Raw genomic sequence first — 19,193 nt, 5'->3', positions numbered from 1 at the left:
AAAGGCTTAAAGAATTGAACTGAGACTTGAACCCACAAAAGACAAAGGTCAAGGTCAGGCCTTGAGTCTGGGTTAATTGCCTGCTATAACAAACCATCAACTTTCTTCAGAAGAGTATTATGTAATTCAGAGTCTCCAAAACACAACAATCATAACGTCCAAGACACAATCCAAAGTTTCTCATTTACAAAGAATCGGGAAAATGTAACCCATTCCCAAGATAAAAGACAATCAGTAAATGCCTACCCAAAGATGATCCAGATGTTGGAATTATTAGATAAGGGCTTTAAAGCACATATTATTGCCATACTCCATGAGGTCAAGGAAAATATGCACTAATTAATGAAAATATAGGGAATCTTAGCAGAGAAATGGAAGATAAAAACAAGAAATAAGCAAAAATTTTAGAATGAAAAAATACAGTATCTGAAAATAAAAGTTCACTGAATAAGCATAACAGCAAAATAGAAATGAAAAAGGAAAAATTCAGTGAGCTTGAAAAGACATTAATATAAATTACCCAAAAGAGAGAGAAAAAGAGACTTAAAAATGAACATCAAAGAAGATACAAATGAAAAGGTATTCCATATCAATGAATTAGAGGATTCGAGGTTGTTAAGGTGTCACTTTATGGGACCCTAACAGAATCCCAATCAAGTTCCCACCAAGTTATTTTCTAGATATTGGCAAACTGGTTCTAAAATTTATTTAAAAATGCAAAAGACCTAGAAAAGCCAAAACAATATTGAAGTAGGACAAAGTTGAAGGATTCACATTAGATTATTTCAAGATGATAGTAATCAAGACAGCAAGGCATTGGAGAAAGAATAGACACCTAAGTCAATGAAACAGAAGAGAGAATTCAGAAATATCCCCACATAAATATAATCAACTGAGTTGACTATATTTGTATATAGACACAGACCTTACACCTTAAACAAAATTCCCTTAAATTGGTCAAGAACCTAAATGTAAAATGCAAAACCATAAAACAAAGGATAAAATCTATATGGCCTTGGGTTTGTGATGAATTTTTAGATATAGCACCAAAAGCACAATCCATGAAAGAAAAAACAAACAAATTAGACTTTATTAAAATTAAAAACTTCTGCCCTATGACACTGTTAAGACAATAAAAAGCCAGAGATTGGAAGAAAATCTCTGCAAAACACATACCTAACAAAGGACTGATATCCAAAACATACAAATAACTCTTAAAACTAACAATAAGAAAACAAGCAACTCAACTGAAAATAAAAATGGGCAAAAAGATCTGAACAGATACTTGCCAAAAATATATATTCAGAGGGCAAACATGCACATGAAATGATGCTCAACATCATTTGTCATCAGGGAAATGCAAATTAGGACAACAATGCAGTGCCACTACATACCTATTTGAATGGCTAAAATCTCAAACACTGACAATACCATTACTGGCAAGGACCCAGAATGGCAAGCACTCTCTCATTAATTGCTGGTGAAAACACAAAATTATACAGCCACTGCAGAAGACAGTTTGTCAGTTTTTTAGAAAGCTAAACATAGTCTTATCTTATAATCCATCAATAGTCCTCCTAGGTATTTACCCAAATGATTTTAAAAACTTATGTTCACAAAAGACCTGCATACAAATGTGTATAGCAGCTTTATTCATAATCACCAAAAACTGGAAGCAACCGAGATATCCTTCCATGGATGAATGGACAAACTGTGGTACATCTATACAGTGGAATACTATTCAGCAACAAAAAGAACGAGCTATCCAGTCATGAAAAAACATAGATGAATCTTTTTTTTTTTTTTTTGAGATGGAGTCTTACCGTCACCCAGGCTGGAGTGCAATGGCACCATCTTGGCTCACTGCAACCTCCACCTCCCAGGTTCAAGTGATTCTCCTGCCTCAGCCTCCCGAGTAGCTGGGATTACAGGTGCATGCCACCACGCCCAGCTAATTTTTGTATTTTTAGTAGAGATGGGGTTTCACCAGGTAGGCCAGGCTGGTCTCGAACTACTGACCTCAGGTGATCCACCTGCTTCGGCCTCCCAAAGTGCTGGGTGTACAGGTGTGAGCCACTGCACCCAGCCAGGTGAATCTTAAATGTATATTACTAAGTGAAAGAAGCCAGTCTGAAAAGGCTACCTGCTGTATGATGCTATTTATATGACATTCTCAAAAAGGCAAAAACTATAGAGATGGTGAACAGATTGGGGTGGCCAAAGGTATGGGGAGGGAGAAGGATTAAATAGACAAAGCACAGGGTATTATTTGGGGGTGGTGAAGCTACTCTCTATGATACTTTAATGGGAGATACACGAAACTACACATTTGTCAAAACCCACAGAGCTTTACAGCACAGAGAGTAAAATCTAAGGTATGTAACTTTAAAAAACATTTAAACATTGAGGGGCTCTCAGAATGGAATGTAGACTGTGATAAAAGAACATAACTGTATGACATATGTATTAAGCAACCTCACTGAAGGGAGTAAGAAATAAAGGTGCTGAACTAAGTAACTCTGGAGCCGAATGTAGTAAGACTAAAGGCAAAGTGAACTAACTGTACATCAGCACTGTACTCTAGATGATAAAGTTGTTTGCATGGAATATGAGTTAAAAATACAGAAACCGGCATACGTGAAGGCTGGAACTGAATAATTAAGTAAACATATGGCAGATGGTGGCAACCATATTTCTCACTGTTGGAGTAGGCTACAGACAAGCAAGGAGAAAGGCTAGAAGACCCTACTGTAAAGGGATCAGAGTTGAGACGTGAGTGTGAACTCATGTTTAGCTTAACATAGATACAAATGAATATATATTATAGATATGTTATATACACAGGTTGCTTTACACACATATATTTCCTTGGCTTATCAACTGGAAAGGCCTAGAAGTAACAACATCCCAGCCACGAAGGAAACACCTAGCACCCTAATCTTCATTTCTCAAAACATTCTTTAATAAAAGGAACCAGGGAAAGGTTCCTTTTATTAAAAGGGCCTAGGGCAGACAAAATACAAGATGAGCCTGGGGCATCTTGTATACAGCCGCATGTATACATGCACATACACACACGCACGCACACACTCACACACACACTCACATGCACACACACACACACAATGATAGAAGAATGTCAAAGGGTAACAGAGCCAATTGAAAGAGCTTCCAAAAGCCAAAGCTGAAACAATTTGAGCAACAAAAGAAAGTAGTATTAGATTATAACCCAAAGTATAAATTAAATATCCATGAGTACATACTTACATAAAGAAGTAATTGGATAAATAATGAGGGAGAAAAGACAAATTTCCCATGCAAAAGAATTCCAAATAATTTCTGCAGATACTCCACCCTTGAGGAGGTGGAACATAACTCCTCACATCTTCAGTGTGGGCTGATCGTATGAAAAGGGGGAAAAAGAGTAACTTTAGAGTACAGAAACTTGACAAGTTCGACTTTGGACACTTTAAGTCAGCAATTACTTGACCTGGGACAGGTGAAGAGATGGACAGGGCACCTGCTCGGCCCCAAAGGTCTCAGTGATGGTCCCTCTTAGCTTCAAAGGTGTCAAATTCTGAGCCACACACAGAGAAGGGTTCTCCCTCCACCCAGGTGGGAGGCAGCTCTGGGCCCCGCTGCATATAGGGGTCCAGCTCTTCTTTGGAGCTCAGACCAGCCTGTTTGGGGCTGCCTCTTCAAGACTTCGACCTTCTGATCTGCTGGCACCTTCATTAATGAATAGAAACTAGCAGAAATATGTTAAAAAAAAAGAGAGAGAGAGAGAAAGTATTTTGAATGGCTCCTCAAAAGAGAGCTTATCCTTGTAAATCTTTTGCTTATACCCCTTCACCATCCAGGAAAGAATGACATCAAACTGAGGAAGGGCAGGGCCTCCCCTGCCACACGACCATGGAACCAGGGGCTTTGAGAGCCCAGCTTTAGTGGATTGTGCTTGAGGTCAAAGTTTGGGTAGAACTTATGAGGTACAACAGCCGTTCTTGCCATAGAGTTTTCCATACAGATGCCTCATATTTGCTGGGACAGGAGATCCGAAGGTGAATCATACATGTTATTCACTGGAAGGTCCAAACCACACTCTGGGTATCCAACAATAGCAGGAGGGAGGACATATTCCCAATCCCAGTCTCCCTCCCTACACCTTCTCCCACCCTCATCTCCTGAGCTTTTTTGATTAGAGTTTTCCCTGAAGCTGTCACTTCACTGCCACATCCTGTCCTTCTGCAACCCAATTGGTGAATTTCCAAATCTGGGCCAACCCAACCATCTAATTTCCTACCTCTGTCCCCCGGTACAAACCACATCTTCACCTTGCCTGGCACTGCCACAAATACAAATTAGAACAAGGTACGCCACTCAAGACCAGAGGTATAACAGTCTCCACAAGCCTTCTTCTTCTGTCCTCTCTCCTCCTCAGTCTATCGCTCTCAGTGGCTGTGGAGATTGAGCCTCTTCTTCCTAAGTGTCCAGCCCCACCCCCACTCCCTCTCCTCAGACCTTGACCCTATCTCTGCATTCCTCAGAGAACAGAAGTCATCTGCTGGGGCACCCTCAACTTTCTTGCACCTGCTTGAAATTTCCTCTGTATCTCCTCCTCTCTTCAGACTTTCTGTCCCTCCTGTCTGTGAGGAAAAAATACTTGCTTTGGTTTCAGGGTCATTCTCCACCTATGTTTAATGTCACATCCTACATGCCACCTGTGACCTTCTCTTCAGTTAACTTCCTCTCCCTAGCAGCATCGGTCTCTCCCTCTCACTTCCTCTTTCCCATCTGGGCTCAGACGTGCTCCTGTTGTTCCTCCCACTAAAACACTATTCCTCAACCCCACAGCACTCAAACTCCTGTCCCACATAACCTCCCTTGTTACAGCACCAGGCACAGGCTATGGTCCCACATGGACCTGGGTTCAGATCTCAGATCTGCCTCTTACTGACTAGGGAATGTTGGGAAATAACCACGACCACACGGAAGTCTATGGAGGAGCCCCTGAGTGTCAGGCACGGTGCAAGGGACTTTACTTACAATGATATCAAGCTCACAGAATCCCATCAGCATCCTCAGGAGACAGGGATGTTGTATTTAGTTCAGAGAACAAGAAGCTGGGCCCTGGAGAGGTTAAGTAATTTGTACAAGTTCACATAGCCAAGTGAGGCAGAGGTGGAGCCAGGGAGAGCTGGCCTATATCAAACCAAAGCCCACATTCTATCCTCCACTGTCTCCTAGATGCCTAATGCTCTTATCCTCAGCCCCTTCTCTAGAGAATATCAGTGTTATTGGCTACCTTGTGAAGGTCCTATAAGAATTAAAGAAAATGATGTGCACAGAGCACTTAGCATAATGTCCAGCACTCAACAAATGAGGATTGTTCAAAAAATGGGGATGATTTCTATAGGATTACCAACCACGCATTCCAACTTGAATTCCCTCCTCTTCGCTTCCATGAAGCTATGATCTCCTAGTTGTCCTCCTGCCTCTCCAACCCACCTCTTGCATTCCCCATAATCCTCTTGGGCTCATCCTTTAAATGTAGGCTTTGTCCAGAGTCCCTCATAGCTCCCTGTTCCTGCACAATGTCACCTTCTCCCCCAACTTCGGTCAGTGCCTCCCAGAGCCTCCACCCTGCCTGACACCTCAGCAAACCCACACTTCCTTCCCTAAACCTGTTCCTCCTCTGCGTTCTCCATGTTTAACCAAGGTGCTCCTGAACCATGAGTAAATCTCATTGCTTCTTCCTTAGAAGCCTCCAGTAGCCCCCTATTGCCAACAGAATAAACTGCAGAATCTTTAGCAAGGCAACCAAATCCCTTCATTATCTGGTCCAAACCACCTTCCCAGCTGCTTTCAACTGCACCAATCTATTGGACATTTGCTATTATGCCTCTCCTCCCCAGAGTCTCTTTCCCAGCTAAACATCCACACATGCTCCAGCAATTCTTAGCGTGGCATCATGTCAAAACCCTTGACTGTCCTGGAGATCATCTCCAGACTGGCTTCATTTGCCTGGGTGTCTCTTTTAAAATGAAGCCCAGAAACGGACAGTACCTTAGGTGCTGAATAGAACTATGCTCTCCAGTGTTCTGAAAATTACTTCTCAGAATGCAGCCTGTCCTCTTTGTGCCTGCCCAACAGGCCAATTCTAGCTTCAGCATCGCAGCCAGGTCAGCTTTGGCTGATCACGAGCTTCCGTGTGCTCCCAGGGTGCTGACATCAGCACCTGAAATCATTTCAGGTTTACGCTCTGCTTTTCCAATAGGACTGAAAACCCCTCAAGGGAAGGAATTTCTATGTTCCACCCTCCAATGCTTAGATGTCTTTAGTCCAGCTGGAGTGAATAAACCAGAGGATTTCTAAGGTCATACGTAAAAATGGGGTCATGTCACATTTAACCTAAATCTCCCCCATCCCCCGTCTTTTTAAAATTCCACTTTAAAATGGAGCATAGGCATAGAGTATATATATACATACATATATATACACATACATATATATACCTACTTATACACATATATATATACACACATACACATATATATATACACATACACATATATATACACACATACACATATACATATATATATATATACACACACACACACACACACACACACACATATATATATATATGTTTTTTTTTTTTTTTTGAGACAGAGTCTCACTCTGTCAACCAGGCTGGAGTGCAGTGGTGCGATCTCGGCTCACTGCAACCTCTGCCTCCCGGGTTCAAGTGATTCTCCTGCCTCAGCCTCCCAAATAGCTGGGAATATAGGCGCATGCCATACCACACCAGGCTAATTTTTGTAATTTTAGTAGAGATGGGGTTTCATGTTGACCAGGCTGGTCTCAAACTCCTCACCTCAGGTGATCCCCCCGACTTGACCTCCCAAAGTGCTGGGATTACAGGCATGACCCACTGCACCCGGCCAAGTATACTTTTTGTACTCTCAGCACCTCTAGTGATTTGATGCTCGGAATTATCTTGCAACATTGACAAACATATCCTCTAAATTAAGGAGGCATTTTATGGCAGTAAAAGGTATAATTTGGCTGATGAGATCAGTCCCTAAAAAAAAAAAAAAAAAAAAGTCAGGAGCATGGATTGAAACAAAACTTGGACGAGACGGCAAATAGAAGAAAGGGAACGCGCCACAGTGAGCCAGCCCTTAGTGCCTTACACCATCAGCTATTTATTCAAGCATGAAAACTGTGACATCATTCTCACAACACTAATTAGACAAAGAAATGAGATATGCAAATATTTTTTAAAACTTGATTCTGCAACACTCTTGCCAGATAAAAGTTAATTTAGAAAAACACAACTCATCAGGCTGACTCTGGAGCCAATGTCCATCACCCTAACTACCTGACCTAGGATATCCCTGGAGAAAAATCAAGCACAAGATGTAGGCTGCCCCATGACCCTAGAGACAGCTCAAATCCTTGGAATCTCTCATGGGCCAGGTTGGCCCAAAGATCAGAGGAAGCACAGTTACCCAAGCAAGAAGCACAGAAGTTTCAAGAAACTGAAGATGCTGCACTTTGAGGCTCCAACATGTCCAGCATCCCTTCTCCAGTGCAGCCTCCAGATGAAGGGTCTTTCGCAAGAAGGGTTCTGTGGGACCCTCAAGTCATTCCGTAATCCTCAAGTCATTCCTCAAGTCATCCAAGTGGGACACAGATGTGTACAACCCTGCACTGCCCCACATGAGGTGATTGCCTCGCCAAGCTGCCTCCCCTCACAGAGCCTCTGTTTTCTTGGCTGTGAAACTGGAATCCTGGTGGAGTTGCTGTGAGCACTGAATGAGAACACACACATGGAATCTCAAGAGCCTAGCCCACGGGAGACCATCAGCACGTGGCAGCTCCTTCTCTCCTCCTGGACCGCCTTAGAACAAAGATGCTTGTGATGGGCTGGGTGCAGGGCTGAATTCAGTTCGCAGACAGCTACTGAGGGCCCCCTGTGTGCCTCGCACTGTGTGAAGTTCCTGCCCTTTCGTAGCTAAGGGAGAAGTAGGCAGACTGTTAACACCTGGGGCTGGAATAAGCCAGGCACTAAGAACAGCCCCAAAGGCAGGAAGCTTTCCCAGGGAAGCCACATCCATGCCCAGGCAACGGGTGAGCAAGAGAGGAAGACAGGGACAGTCACGGGCAGAGAGGCCAATCTGTGCTGAGTCCAGAGGTGACCAGGGTGGCCTGTTTGAGGAGCTGCAACCAGGTCTGTATTGCTGGAGTAAAAGATTCATTTCTCTCACCCGGATAGAATTCCCCTTAACCCAGTTCCTCTATACTTTAGGCCACGGCTGCTCTCTGAAGCTTTAATCCTATTACACAGCTGTCTTTAGAGAACAGGAGACCATCCCCGGACCTGTGTATCATCCACCTAGAATAGCACTCCAGTCACACTGACAATGTCATCAGACCCAGGAGACTCAGCCATGAGCAATCTGCAAGGGTGAGCCAAGGAGCAAGTAAGCACTGCAGGAAATAAAAACAAAACAGTCATTGCCCAGATACACACCTGCCTCAGCTGAAAATACCCTGGGGTGCACAAGTCCAAAAGATCTCCATATACACATTAGAAACAGAAAGTGCTTGTTTTTCTTTTTCTAAAGATTTAATTCATGATTCCAGGGCCAATAATACATTTAAATGCCACCAGATGACCCAAACCCAATCTCCACAGAGCTGTGATCTGGACTGACTTATTCTCTACCAAATAAGCCTTCCCCTTTGCCACTATATTTATTCATCTATCTCTCTATCCATCCACCCACACATCCATTCATCCATCCATTCATCCATCCATCCATCCATCCATCCATCATTTATCCATCTACCCATCCATTCATCCATCTATCCATCCATCCGTCCATCCATGCATCCATTTATACATCTGTCTATCCATCCATTCATCCATCCACCCACCCATCCATTCATCTACCCACCCATCTATCCATTCATCCATCTATTCATCTACCCATCCATCCCTCCATCCATCAATTAATCTATCTATTCATCCATCTATACATGCATTTTTCCATCCATTCATCCACTCACCCATCATCCATCTGTCCATTCACTGAGTGCTTACTAAGTACCAGGTCCTGTTCATCCAGAGGTGACCAAGAAGACACAGGTTCTGTCCTCTTGGACTTGACATTCCTAGTGACCAGCCTTGCAGGTGAGGCACCCCAAGCAAGACTTTCTTACCCCTGAGTTTGCTGAGTGGCAAATAAATATAGTTCCACAGAAGCCCTTGGGCACCCCACTCAGGGCCAACCTTGTAGGCAGAGAATGCCTGCTCCTCAGTTTACCTCCTTCGGTTCCTGCCTCTCCAAACTCAGATCAAGCTTGATCCAGAGGGAAGTCCCTACGATGCAGGCAACATTCTCCCCACTGCAAACCATGTAATAATCTGGAAAAGCCACATATCTTCACAGAAGCAGGGGACTTTGCTCCTTATTACAGACATGGCAGCACATACATTTTAAATATGAAAAACATCCCCTCCTTCTAAGGTCCCTGTATTGAAGTTTTCAAGGCACCTCACTTGGATTTTGTACAAATTGAGAAATAAACCAACAAGCATCAGATAGAGGCCAAATTAATAAAATACAAATTAACAAAGGAGAATATGAAATAGATTTCATACAATAGACAAAATGATCAAGAAGCTTGAAGATATTACTACTATAGTGATTGACATGGTTTGGCTGTGTTTCCACCCAAATCTCATCTTGAATTATAGTTCCCATAATTTCCATGTGTTGTAGGAGGGACACATTGGGAAGTAATTGAATCACGGGGGCAGTTTCCCTCATGTTGCTGTTCTCATGATAGTGAGTGAGTTCTCACAAGATCTGATGGTTTTATAAGGGGCTTTTACCCCTTTTGCTCAGCACTTCTCCTTGCTGCCACCATATGAAGAAGGACATATTTGCTCGCCCTTCCACCATGATTGTAAGTTTTCTGAGGCCTCCCCAGCCCTGCAGAACTGTGAGTTAATTAAACCTTTCTTTACAAATTACCCAGTCTCGGGTATGTCTTTATTAGCAACATGAGAACCAACTAATACATTGATGAAGGCATATGTTTCTTCTCCTAACAAGAAAAAAAACAAAGGCAATTAGAAATTCCAGGACAAACTAAAAACCTTAAAAAGTTACAATTATCAAAATATCAAGCAAATAAAAACATGATACAATTCTGAGTAATTTATAGAGTATAAGAAAAGTGATTCCATTTGACCTTGATGCTAGGAATATTGTTGTTCAAATTGTAAAGATATTTTGACATTAGACTTCTAGAGAAGAAATATGATCCTCATATACTATGTAGTTCTACAGTGAACAATACTTCGTAGCCCTGGCCTTAATAACACACAAACTTATAACAATAATACATAAAGTTATAACCCACAAATATTCTACTAACCATTATTTTGCTTCCCTTCTTAGAGCCTGTAAGGGTTTTGTGGTGGCAAATTTAAATGGCCCAGTTCACTTTTTAAAATTTATCTAAGGAATTGTAAACTTTTTTTGGCTTACTAAATTTCATTATGGTAGGCAAAGGTATCCAAACTTGTTCCGTTAAACTAAGCTAAAAAAAAAAAAATCCACTGGACACACTTAATAAGTGTTCATTCTAAATGGCCCTTTTCCCCATAAAAAGTCATCAATGAAAAGGCTGGATCAACTCATTTCCCCTCTTACTCCTGATCCCAGGACACAAAGCTCAGAACCACAGTGACACACAGCTGTGAGGCAAAGTCGGCAGTGCCACTAAAAATTAAACCAGGCCTCAGGTCACAGTGGAGAAGGAGGCCTGGATTCTGGCCCAGCCACTAACTATTTAACATCTACCAAATCCCAGTCTGAGTGAAATGTCCACATTTTCAACGTGGACACCAAATTTTTTAAATATTTGGTTTGGTTTGGTTAACCAAGGCAAATCCAACCATGCATAAAGTGTTCCAGGAACGCCAGTGAGCAGAGTTTATCCCAAGAACATCTGTCTTGAGGACTACAAAGCCACTCCAGCATTGGGTAACGGCCGGACCCCAGTGCTGGAATACCAGAGTGTAAGGCCCAGAAAGCTCTGGGCAAACTGTTACATCTTCCTACATCTCAGGTTCCTCATGTGGAAAATGGGAATCAGGACAGCACTCAGCTCACAGGGTTGCTCTGGTGATGAAATAAACAATTATATGTGAGGTGCTCAGAAAATTGTCCCTGATCAGGAAGGACTCAATACAAGTGAGTTACTATTTGACTGTGGCTTGAGCTGTTGTTGCCTTTCTCTATGGGAATCTACTACAGGATAGAACAAAGGAATGGAGCAATGAGCTGTGGAGTGAGGGAAAAGGACAGTAACCTGTACAAGCATCTATGCTACATGGACTATCAAGTTTCAGGTGGAAAAGCTCCTAGGGACAGCAGGCCAGTTGTCAATCATCCATATCTGACCTTCCAGGTGGCACAGGTCATGCTTTTCCCCAGAGGTGGCCAAAAGGACTTCCATGGAGTGAAGCCTGGGAAGCTCCTCACAGCTGCAGCCTGGGCATCGTTCTCCCGGTAGTAGATGAGCTGGCAGCTGGCGCCAAGGAAGGCAAGCCTCTCCCAAGCAGAGGCCTGGCTGGGAGCACTGGGAAGCAGTCACAATTATGGCAGCATCACACTGCCCCTCACAGCTGCCACTGCCACAACCCAAGGTTTGAGGAGGCTGGGGTTTCCTACAATGCCTGTGTAGCCTCTGATGACTTACTTAAAGGGAGTTCTGTTCCTTGAAATGTCACAGCCACAAACATCTAACATTCATGGGCCACATCAAATGGGGAGAGATGCCCAAGGACTTTCCTCTCCTGTAGCAGAGAGAAACTCCTTACCCTACCAAGAGCTTTCTGGCTGCCCATCTGTGAATGTGACGCAGATACTCTACTCATTGGGGAAGGGCTGGATGTCAGCTCCTAGGTCTTTGTGCCAGAGACCTAGAGGCCTCATTTGGAAAAGCTTCTATAAAGGACATGTACTGGACTCTGACCATAAAAACCCCACAACTGTCTCTGTATGGCATGTTACTCTCAGTACCCGCTGCCACATGTCCCTCCTGCCAGTGTAACCACAGAGGCTCCACACAGCACCAAGTGTTTCAGCTACCCGGATGCACCATGAGTCCCCAGAGGGCACACGCCTGTTCCAGGTCATCTCTGTCACCTCCTAGCACGATTCACAGTGCTGAGAGGAAGGCGTACAACACGTCTTCGTGGAATCGAAGCAAATTCAAAATGGAAATTCTTTCAAATATCCATTTCAGATACACATGTCCTGTGCTACTTACTATCTCTGGCTGCACTTCTCTCTAGCTCTTCGGTCTTTGAGGAAAAGGGCAGTAGATGTATCTTTTAAGGAGAAATGTTTATGAATGGAGCTGGAGGCCATTATCCTCAGCAAACTAACACAGAAACAGAAAACCAAATACGGCATGTTCTCACCTATAGTGGGAGCTAAAGGATGAGAACTTATGAACACAAAGAAGGAAACAACAGACAGTGGGGTCTACTTGAGGAGGGAGTGGGGAGGAGGGAGAGGAGCAGAAAAGGTAACTATTGGGTACTGGGCTTAATACTTGGGTGATGAAATAATCTGTACAACAAACCACCATAACATGAGTTTACCTATGTAACAAACCTTCTCATGTACTCCCCAACCTAAAATAAAAGGTTACAAAAAGGACAAATGTTTAAATTTCGGTTGTTAAATATGTAAACAACTGCTATAGAAAACCAAAAAACATTATTTAACCATTTTATACCCATCCAAAATGCTGCAAACATATGTTTTTAAAGAGGTTTATGAGTCAAATTATATCCTGAAGAGTTGTCAAAATAACTCTACATCCTATTTACAACCTTGGTCTTGAGTCCAACAATTACTCAGCTCATGTATCCTTCTTCTTATGTTGACACTTTTTAAAAATCAACACTGATGCCTGATGAGAAGCTAAATAAACTGATGACAAGAGCAAAAACCTCCCCACTTCTTACATACGAAAGTAAATAAACGCAAAGAAAACAGAACCTGCAAGTCATTATTGGTATTTTCTGCCCTCTGGTGGTCAAGTCCAAGAAGTCTCCACACCAGGAAACAATCTGTGTATTTCACAGATGGCCTCTCTGAGGATCACTCAGGCTAAAGCCTTCATCCCACTGGACTTCCCCAGCAACCAAGTAGGTCCTGCTTCTCTCCTCCCCGCGTGTGTGTGTGTGTGTGTGTGTGTGTGTGTGTGTGTGTGTGTGTGTGTGTGTGTGTATGCAAAAAAAACAAAAAGGATAACGTCAGTCTGAGCAGAACAGGATGAGCAATGTGACCCCACCTCCTCCAAGCACATACAACGTGCCTGAAAAGGCATAAAACTGCAGCAGATGAGCTGTGCTTTCAACTCCCCAACACCATGTTCCATCTGAGCAGATGAGTAAGGCCACCACATCACAAAAGTGTCAACAGAATGAGCATCGGTCAGCTTTGCCTTATTAATATCAGGGAAACACACTCCTGTGAGCACCACACATTTTCAGGACATTACTTTAAAGAGCCCATAGCCTCCCCTTCCATCACCCTCTGTTATGCCACACTGTCTGCGGAGGCAGAGGTCCCACTGTGCTCAACATCAGAGGGTTTCCGTTCCCACCAACCCCATTCAACTCAGTCCCCACACTGACCCCCCACCGTGCAAGACCTACAGAGACACTCCTTACTCTGCCCTTTGCTGCTGAAGGAAGGACAGGCTCTGAGAATGGTGAATGCCTCTGTCCTTTCCTTGAACACTCCTGCCTGAGGAGTTTCTGTGAAGTGTGGTGTCCATCAGGTAGTCGAATGGTTTTCTCTAGGACATTCCATAACTCCCTGATACGCTTTGGCTGTGTTCCCCCCAAATCTCATCTTGAATCATAGTTCCCATAATCTCCACATGTCATGGAAGGGACCCGGTGAAGATAATTAAATCACTGGAGCAGTTTCCCCCATCTTGTTCTTGTGATAGTGGGTGAGTCTCATGAAATCTGATGGTTTTATAAGGGGGCTTTTCCCCCTTTTGCTGAGCACTTCTCCTTGCTGCTGCCATGTGGAGAAGGACGTGTTTGCTTCCCTTCTGCCATGACTGTAAGTTTCCTAAGGCCTCCCCAGCCATGCTGAAGTTTGAGTCAATTAAACATCTTTTCTTTATAAATTAACCAGTGTCAGGTATGTCTTTATTAGCAGTGTGAGAATGGACTAATACACTCCCCATTAACTACTAAATTATACATGAGCTGATTACTCTTGTGTTCAGAGTCTTTGTAGTGGGATGGGTGGGATGAATGGATTATTGGATGGATAAATGATGATGGATGGATGGATGGATGATGGATGGGTGGATGATGGATGGATGAACAGATGATGAATGATGCATGGATGATGAATGATGGATGGATGAACAGATGATGGATGAATGATGAATGGATGATGGATGGGTGGATGGATGGGTGGTGGGTGAATGGGTGAGTGGGTGGATAGGTGGATGGACACAGACGGACAGGTGGTTGAACAGGTGGGTGGATGAATAGGCAATACATGGAAGGAAGGTTAGAAGAGTAAAACGATTTCCATGACATGTAGGGCTCTACTAGGCCTTGCAGGGACTAAATAAAAAAACACAATCCCTGCCCATTAAAGATTGTGTTAGTAATGATACAAAATGAGATCAATCTGTGACAAGAATAGATGAACACAAAGTGATTCCAGAAGACAATAAAAGCAGATGACCTCCAAGCAAAAAGAAAACAGACAAAGGCCTGATCGTGTTACAGCAATAGCCACAAACATTGAGATTATTAATGTGAGGAGGCTGAGTAACCTTCTGCTCAGGAGGAAGTGTCATGGCACCTGGTTTGTGGCCATTAGGACAGATAGAATGTGACACTCTGACACCTGCTGATCTGCCCCAGCCCCAGCCAGTAGCTGAACCAGACAGGCTGAGTGGTGGAGAGCCGGATGACCAGGAGCCAGACACCCTGGTGAGGACATCGACATCAGGACCTCTCTGGAGCTGTGGAAGAGCTTGGGTGAAGGGGCAATCCCAAGCAAGACCTCACAGCAGTGGCAGCATGCAGCCTGCTGTGCTCACCTAACACAGCACAGGCCCACAGAGCCACACCACCACTCCATGTGCGGTGAGAAGGGCCCACACTGGCCACTGACCAACCCTGGCTGGCTCTCAAGGGGACTCAGATGCCCTCAACCTCCTCTTCATTGCTCAAGTCTTCCATGAACCCTTGCAGTCAGAAGGTCACAAAAGGGTTACTCAAGGATGCAATAACCCATTTCAAACCCCCATCAACAGCAGGGAGAGACTCTCCCATGCCTTGCTGAGACCCTTCACTCATACCCAACAATGCACACCGTAGGAAAAGATTGTGTGTCTATCGCCGGTTCTGAGAATCCCCTGAAGCCAGTTTCTTCCCTTTGCTCTCCCTGAAGCTCCTGGTGCTGGGAAAAGCTACCCCCATCTCATATGTGGCACGCTGTACAACTTGGAGATCATCGTTCAGGCTCTCAGGACTGGCTGAGTTGTCTGCCGCCCAGCACCCACGTGCCTGAAAAAACAGCCCAGAATGCTGGTTGCACTCAGCATGCAGCCCCGCAGCTCAGCTGCTGCATGTGACTCTGCAGCCCCAGCCCTGGGCACACTCCCAGACCACCAGGGCCACACTGCCAAGTGTAGGTGAGCACGACCCCAGTGCCTGCTTACAGCACAATGCACGAGTGTGTACACATGAAGCACATACTATGGGGAGCAGTGTCTGCGACAGAGAGGAAGAAAGAAAGAAGACTCCTGGTTCTGGACAGAAGGGCCACGTGGAGTTAGATCAAAGAGGCAGCAACATCCTCCTTCCCACTCAACATGGACCCGGCAGTGGGGGCTGGTATGTGGGAGCACAAGAACCAACATGCACTGAGGGCTTCCCTCTGCTAAGAGATAAGCCAGGGGCTTTGGATGTGAATCCTGATTCAGACCTCATTCACTCTTTCCACTCCTATTTGCTGTTTGTCTGCTATGTGCCCAGCCCTGTGTGTGAAGCTGAACACACAGCAGTGGATGAGGCTGGCAGGGCCCCAGCTGCGTGGAGCTTTTAGGCTAGTGAAGGAGACAGAACCCACCTATTGCACATGAGTTGCTACACTCATGAGTTGTAATACATGCTGCAAGTGGGGAGTCCAGTGCCTTGGGAACAGGTGTCAGAGGAACCACATGCAGGCTGAGGCCTTTCTGAAGAAGGGACAGTCATACAAGCTCTGAAATGTACATGAAAACAACCCATGCAAAAGGGGGGCATCCCCAGCTGGATGGTAGCACATGTAAGCCCCCTCCCACAGTGGCACAGGGGAGAGACAGAAATGAGGCCAGAGGGACAGAGGCCCAGTGGAGAGAGGGGGTACAGTGAGGAGTCATGAAGGATCCTGGATACAGAAACAGAACTTGGGCCTTGATCCTGGGGACCCAGGGAGTGACAAGGGGGCTGAGACAGTGCTGATATTTCACAACCACATCCATGTGTTCTGTGCAGGGGTCTCAAGGAGCAGAGCCCATGGCAGCAGTGTCACCCGGGAACCCAGAAATGCAGACTCTCCACCCCACCCCAGAGCTGCAGAATCACACATCCTGGGGGTAGGACCTAGCTACTGTGCAGCACCTAATTTACAAGATGAGCTTGTCTTAGCTAAAATATTTACCTCTGCGCAAAATCAACCCAAGAGAATGGGCCAGACCTCATTTACACTTCTCACTCTTTCAGGTGCCCAGCTTCCTCCTTCTGAAAAGGTTTCCCAGCCTCCCAGCACAGGCTGCAGAGGTCTCCCAAGCCCCCACTCCCTCCCCTCCCAAACACATTTGCTTCCTTCTCCTCGTGTTCTTGGTAATCACTTAATTTGGTGTGGCATTTCTGACACAAATTAGATGATGGTCAATATGGCAAGGCTTTAAGAGAAAACCTGAAAGTTCCAAGGAATGCCATGGAAATGAAAGAGAACCATGAAAAATATGACATTTGGGCAAAGTTTAAAATGACCGGGCACGCTCAGCCTTGAGTGAATGTCACTGTGGGGAGCTGCGGTGACAGTTTTTTAATACACAAGGAACGCACGTAGGAGAAACGGATCCATTTTTCCACTCATCAGCAAGAGCAGAAGGAGAAGGACCATCTTAGGTTTCAGCCGGGAAAACATATGTCATGTGTTTGAGCCATAGGAGAGGAAGAGCTGCCAAGAGGGCCGGTGAGATCATCCTCACCAGAGACGCTGGAGATGAGATCACAGCGGCCCGGGTCACTGTCCGGCAGGGTGCCTGGACCCTGCTGGCTCTGTGCGGGGTCTTCCCACTGCCTGACAATCCCATTGCCTGGCAAGGTCTGGATAGGCAGGGCAGGTGCTAACTCCGGGTTACTGTGGTTTGCTTCAGACACCTGGGAATTCAAAGGACACTATGCATCTCTGCAAAACATTGCACATTGCCTTGTTACTTGGAGGCGAGGGTACCCAGCATTTGTTTCATGGGAATGCCCATGTCTTCCTTTCCTTTAGCCAACTCCTGTCTTCCCAGTAACGGCAGCAGCAGCAACAAAAACAACAACAACAACCATCACACAAATAACAGCTGTCAGCTATGGAGCATCGCTCTGGGCCAGCGCTGCACACACACCCTTCACTCATGGCTCACCACCATCCTAAGACCCATTTCACACATGAAGAAACTGAGCCCTAGAGAGCGCTATGGCCTGTTCACGGCCCCAGTGCTGGTCATGGGCAGGATGAGGGCTGAGCCCAGGGCTTTCCTGCCCACGATCATGATCACGTCTCCGTGTTGCCGGGAATGAAGTCTGCACATGAGACAACCAATAAAGGAACTGATGCGAATGTGGCCCCCAAGACCCTCCTGGGCCTGGCAGGGGCTGGTCCATGATAACATCCAGTAGAACGGAGAACAGGAACCTTTTAGGAATCACCCACTGTGGCTCCTCTCCCTGGGACACCACCCCCACCCCGCTCCAGATCTGGTGATATTTAAAACCAAGGCCCTCCTGGAAGGCTCCCACCTCTGCCTGGTCTGGTCTGCACCACCCCACACCTTGCCCCACACAACCCCACTGTGGACCCCAATGAGCCTGCAGGGCTGCTGGCGGCATGGACGTCCTTCACACATCATCACCCCATCAAAACCAGCAAGAGTGCAAGGTTTCCCAGGAGCCTGCCTGGCCGCTGACCACCTTGCGTTTTTTATATGCGCCCAGCACTCTCCTCAGAGGGCCCCTGAGTCAGGATGGTCTGCAGGCTACTGCAATTAGAGGGGATATTGTGCAGAGACTGCTATCACAGCTTCAGCTAACCCTGCATCCGATGTTTAACCAATCTTCCCTTTCATGCAATCCTAGGCTCGTCTGGCTTTTCTATTTTTGCCTCTCTCTGGAGTCCTGAGGATGGCTGAAATGGCTTCTGTTGCAGACCTGAGGAACCAGTTTTCCTCGGCACTCTGATGCTGTCTGTGCTGGTGCCTTCACCACAAGGCTTTCTGGGGCCTCATTCAATATCAGACAGTTCAGCCAAGGGACCTGAGCCCCTCCTGACCTGGGACTTCAGACCTGAACACCCACCCGGCCCCACTGAAAGAACCACCACAAAACAAGCACAGGAACTGGGGTGCACGGGCGGGCACGAGGCCAGGCCGCGTACGCGTGTTGATGGCCACAGCTGTGCCCCCTCACAGGAAGCATCATAAGGGGAAGCCCGGGTCAGGACAGGCCATCTGTGAAGCGTGGCCGACCCCGAAGCAAGTAAAGCAGGGCTTTCCTGCTATTCAGACGACTCCGGACTGATGTCAGGCCTGGAGTCAAGGGAATGAAATTTATTCCTTCTTCATGGAAAAGCTGGACTCAAGCCCCAGATGTATATTCCTGGGGAGACTTAATTTTTCTTCTAGCTTCACCAAGCTCAGTGGAGTTTAAAGCAGGCTTTTCCTTCAGGCAAAGAGACAGAGAAGGCCCAGAGAACAAAGTAGACTGGGGCCCTGGGGAGAAGGAGGCCCTTCCAGAGCTTTGCTCTCCAGGCTCCTCTGTCCAACCAATACACGGGAGAGGCAGGGCAGGG

General features: G+C 45.6%; 1 protein-coding gene across 28 annotated transcripts in view, besides 1 other annotated feature; it reads right to left on the bottom strand.

Moving 5' to 3' along the window:
- ACOXL (acyl-CoA oxidase like) overlaps positions 1-19,193 on the bottom strand; it is a 385,976-nt gene that overhangs the window by 293,490 nt on the left and 73,293 nt on the right. The gene's annotated exons all lie outside the window — the stretch shown is intronic.
- Positions 11,648-12,148: an enhancer, noted in NCBI's record as "H3K27ac hESC enhancer chr2:111570488-111570988 (GRCh37/hg19 assembly coordinates)". NCBI's record gives its function as "activates a minimal SCP1, AML or CMV promoter by ChIP-STARR-seq in primed H9 embryonic stem cells {active_cell/tissue: H9 hESC(primed)}" and the evidence as "EXISTENCE:reporter gene assay evidence [ECO:0000049][PMID:30033119]".

The sequence above is a fragment of the Homo sapiens genome, chromosome 2 (assembly GCF_000001405.40).
Source record: "Homo sapiens chromosome 2, GRCh38.p14 Primary Assembly".
Lineage (NCBI taxonomy): Eukaryota > Metazoa > Chordata > Mammalia > Primates > Hominidae > Homo > Homo sapiens.
The sequence above is the reverse complement of the archived record's forward strand: the minus strand, read 5'-3'. Positions and strand labels throughout refer to the sequence as shown.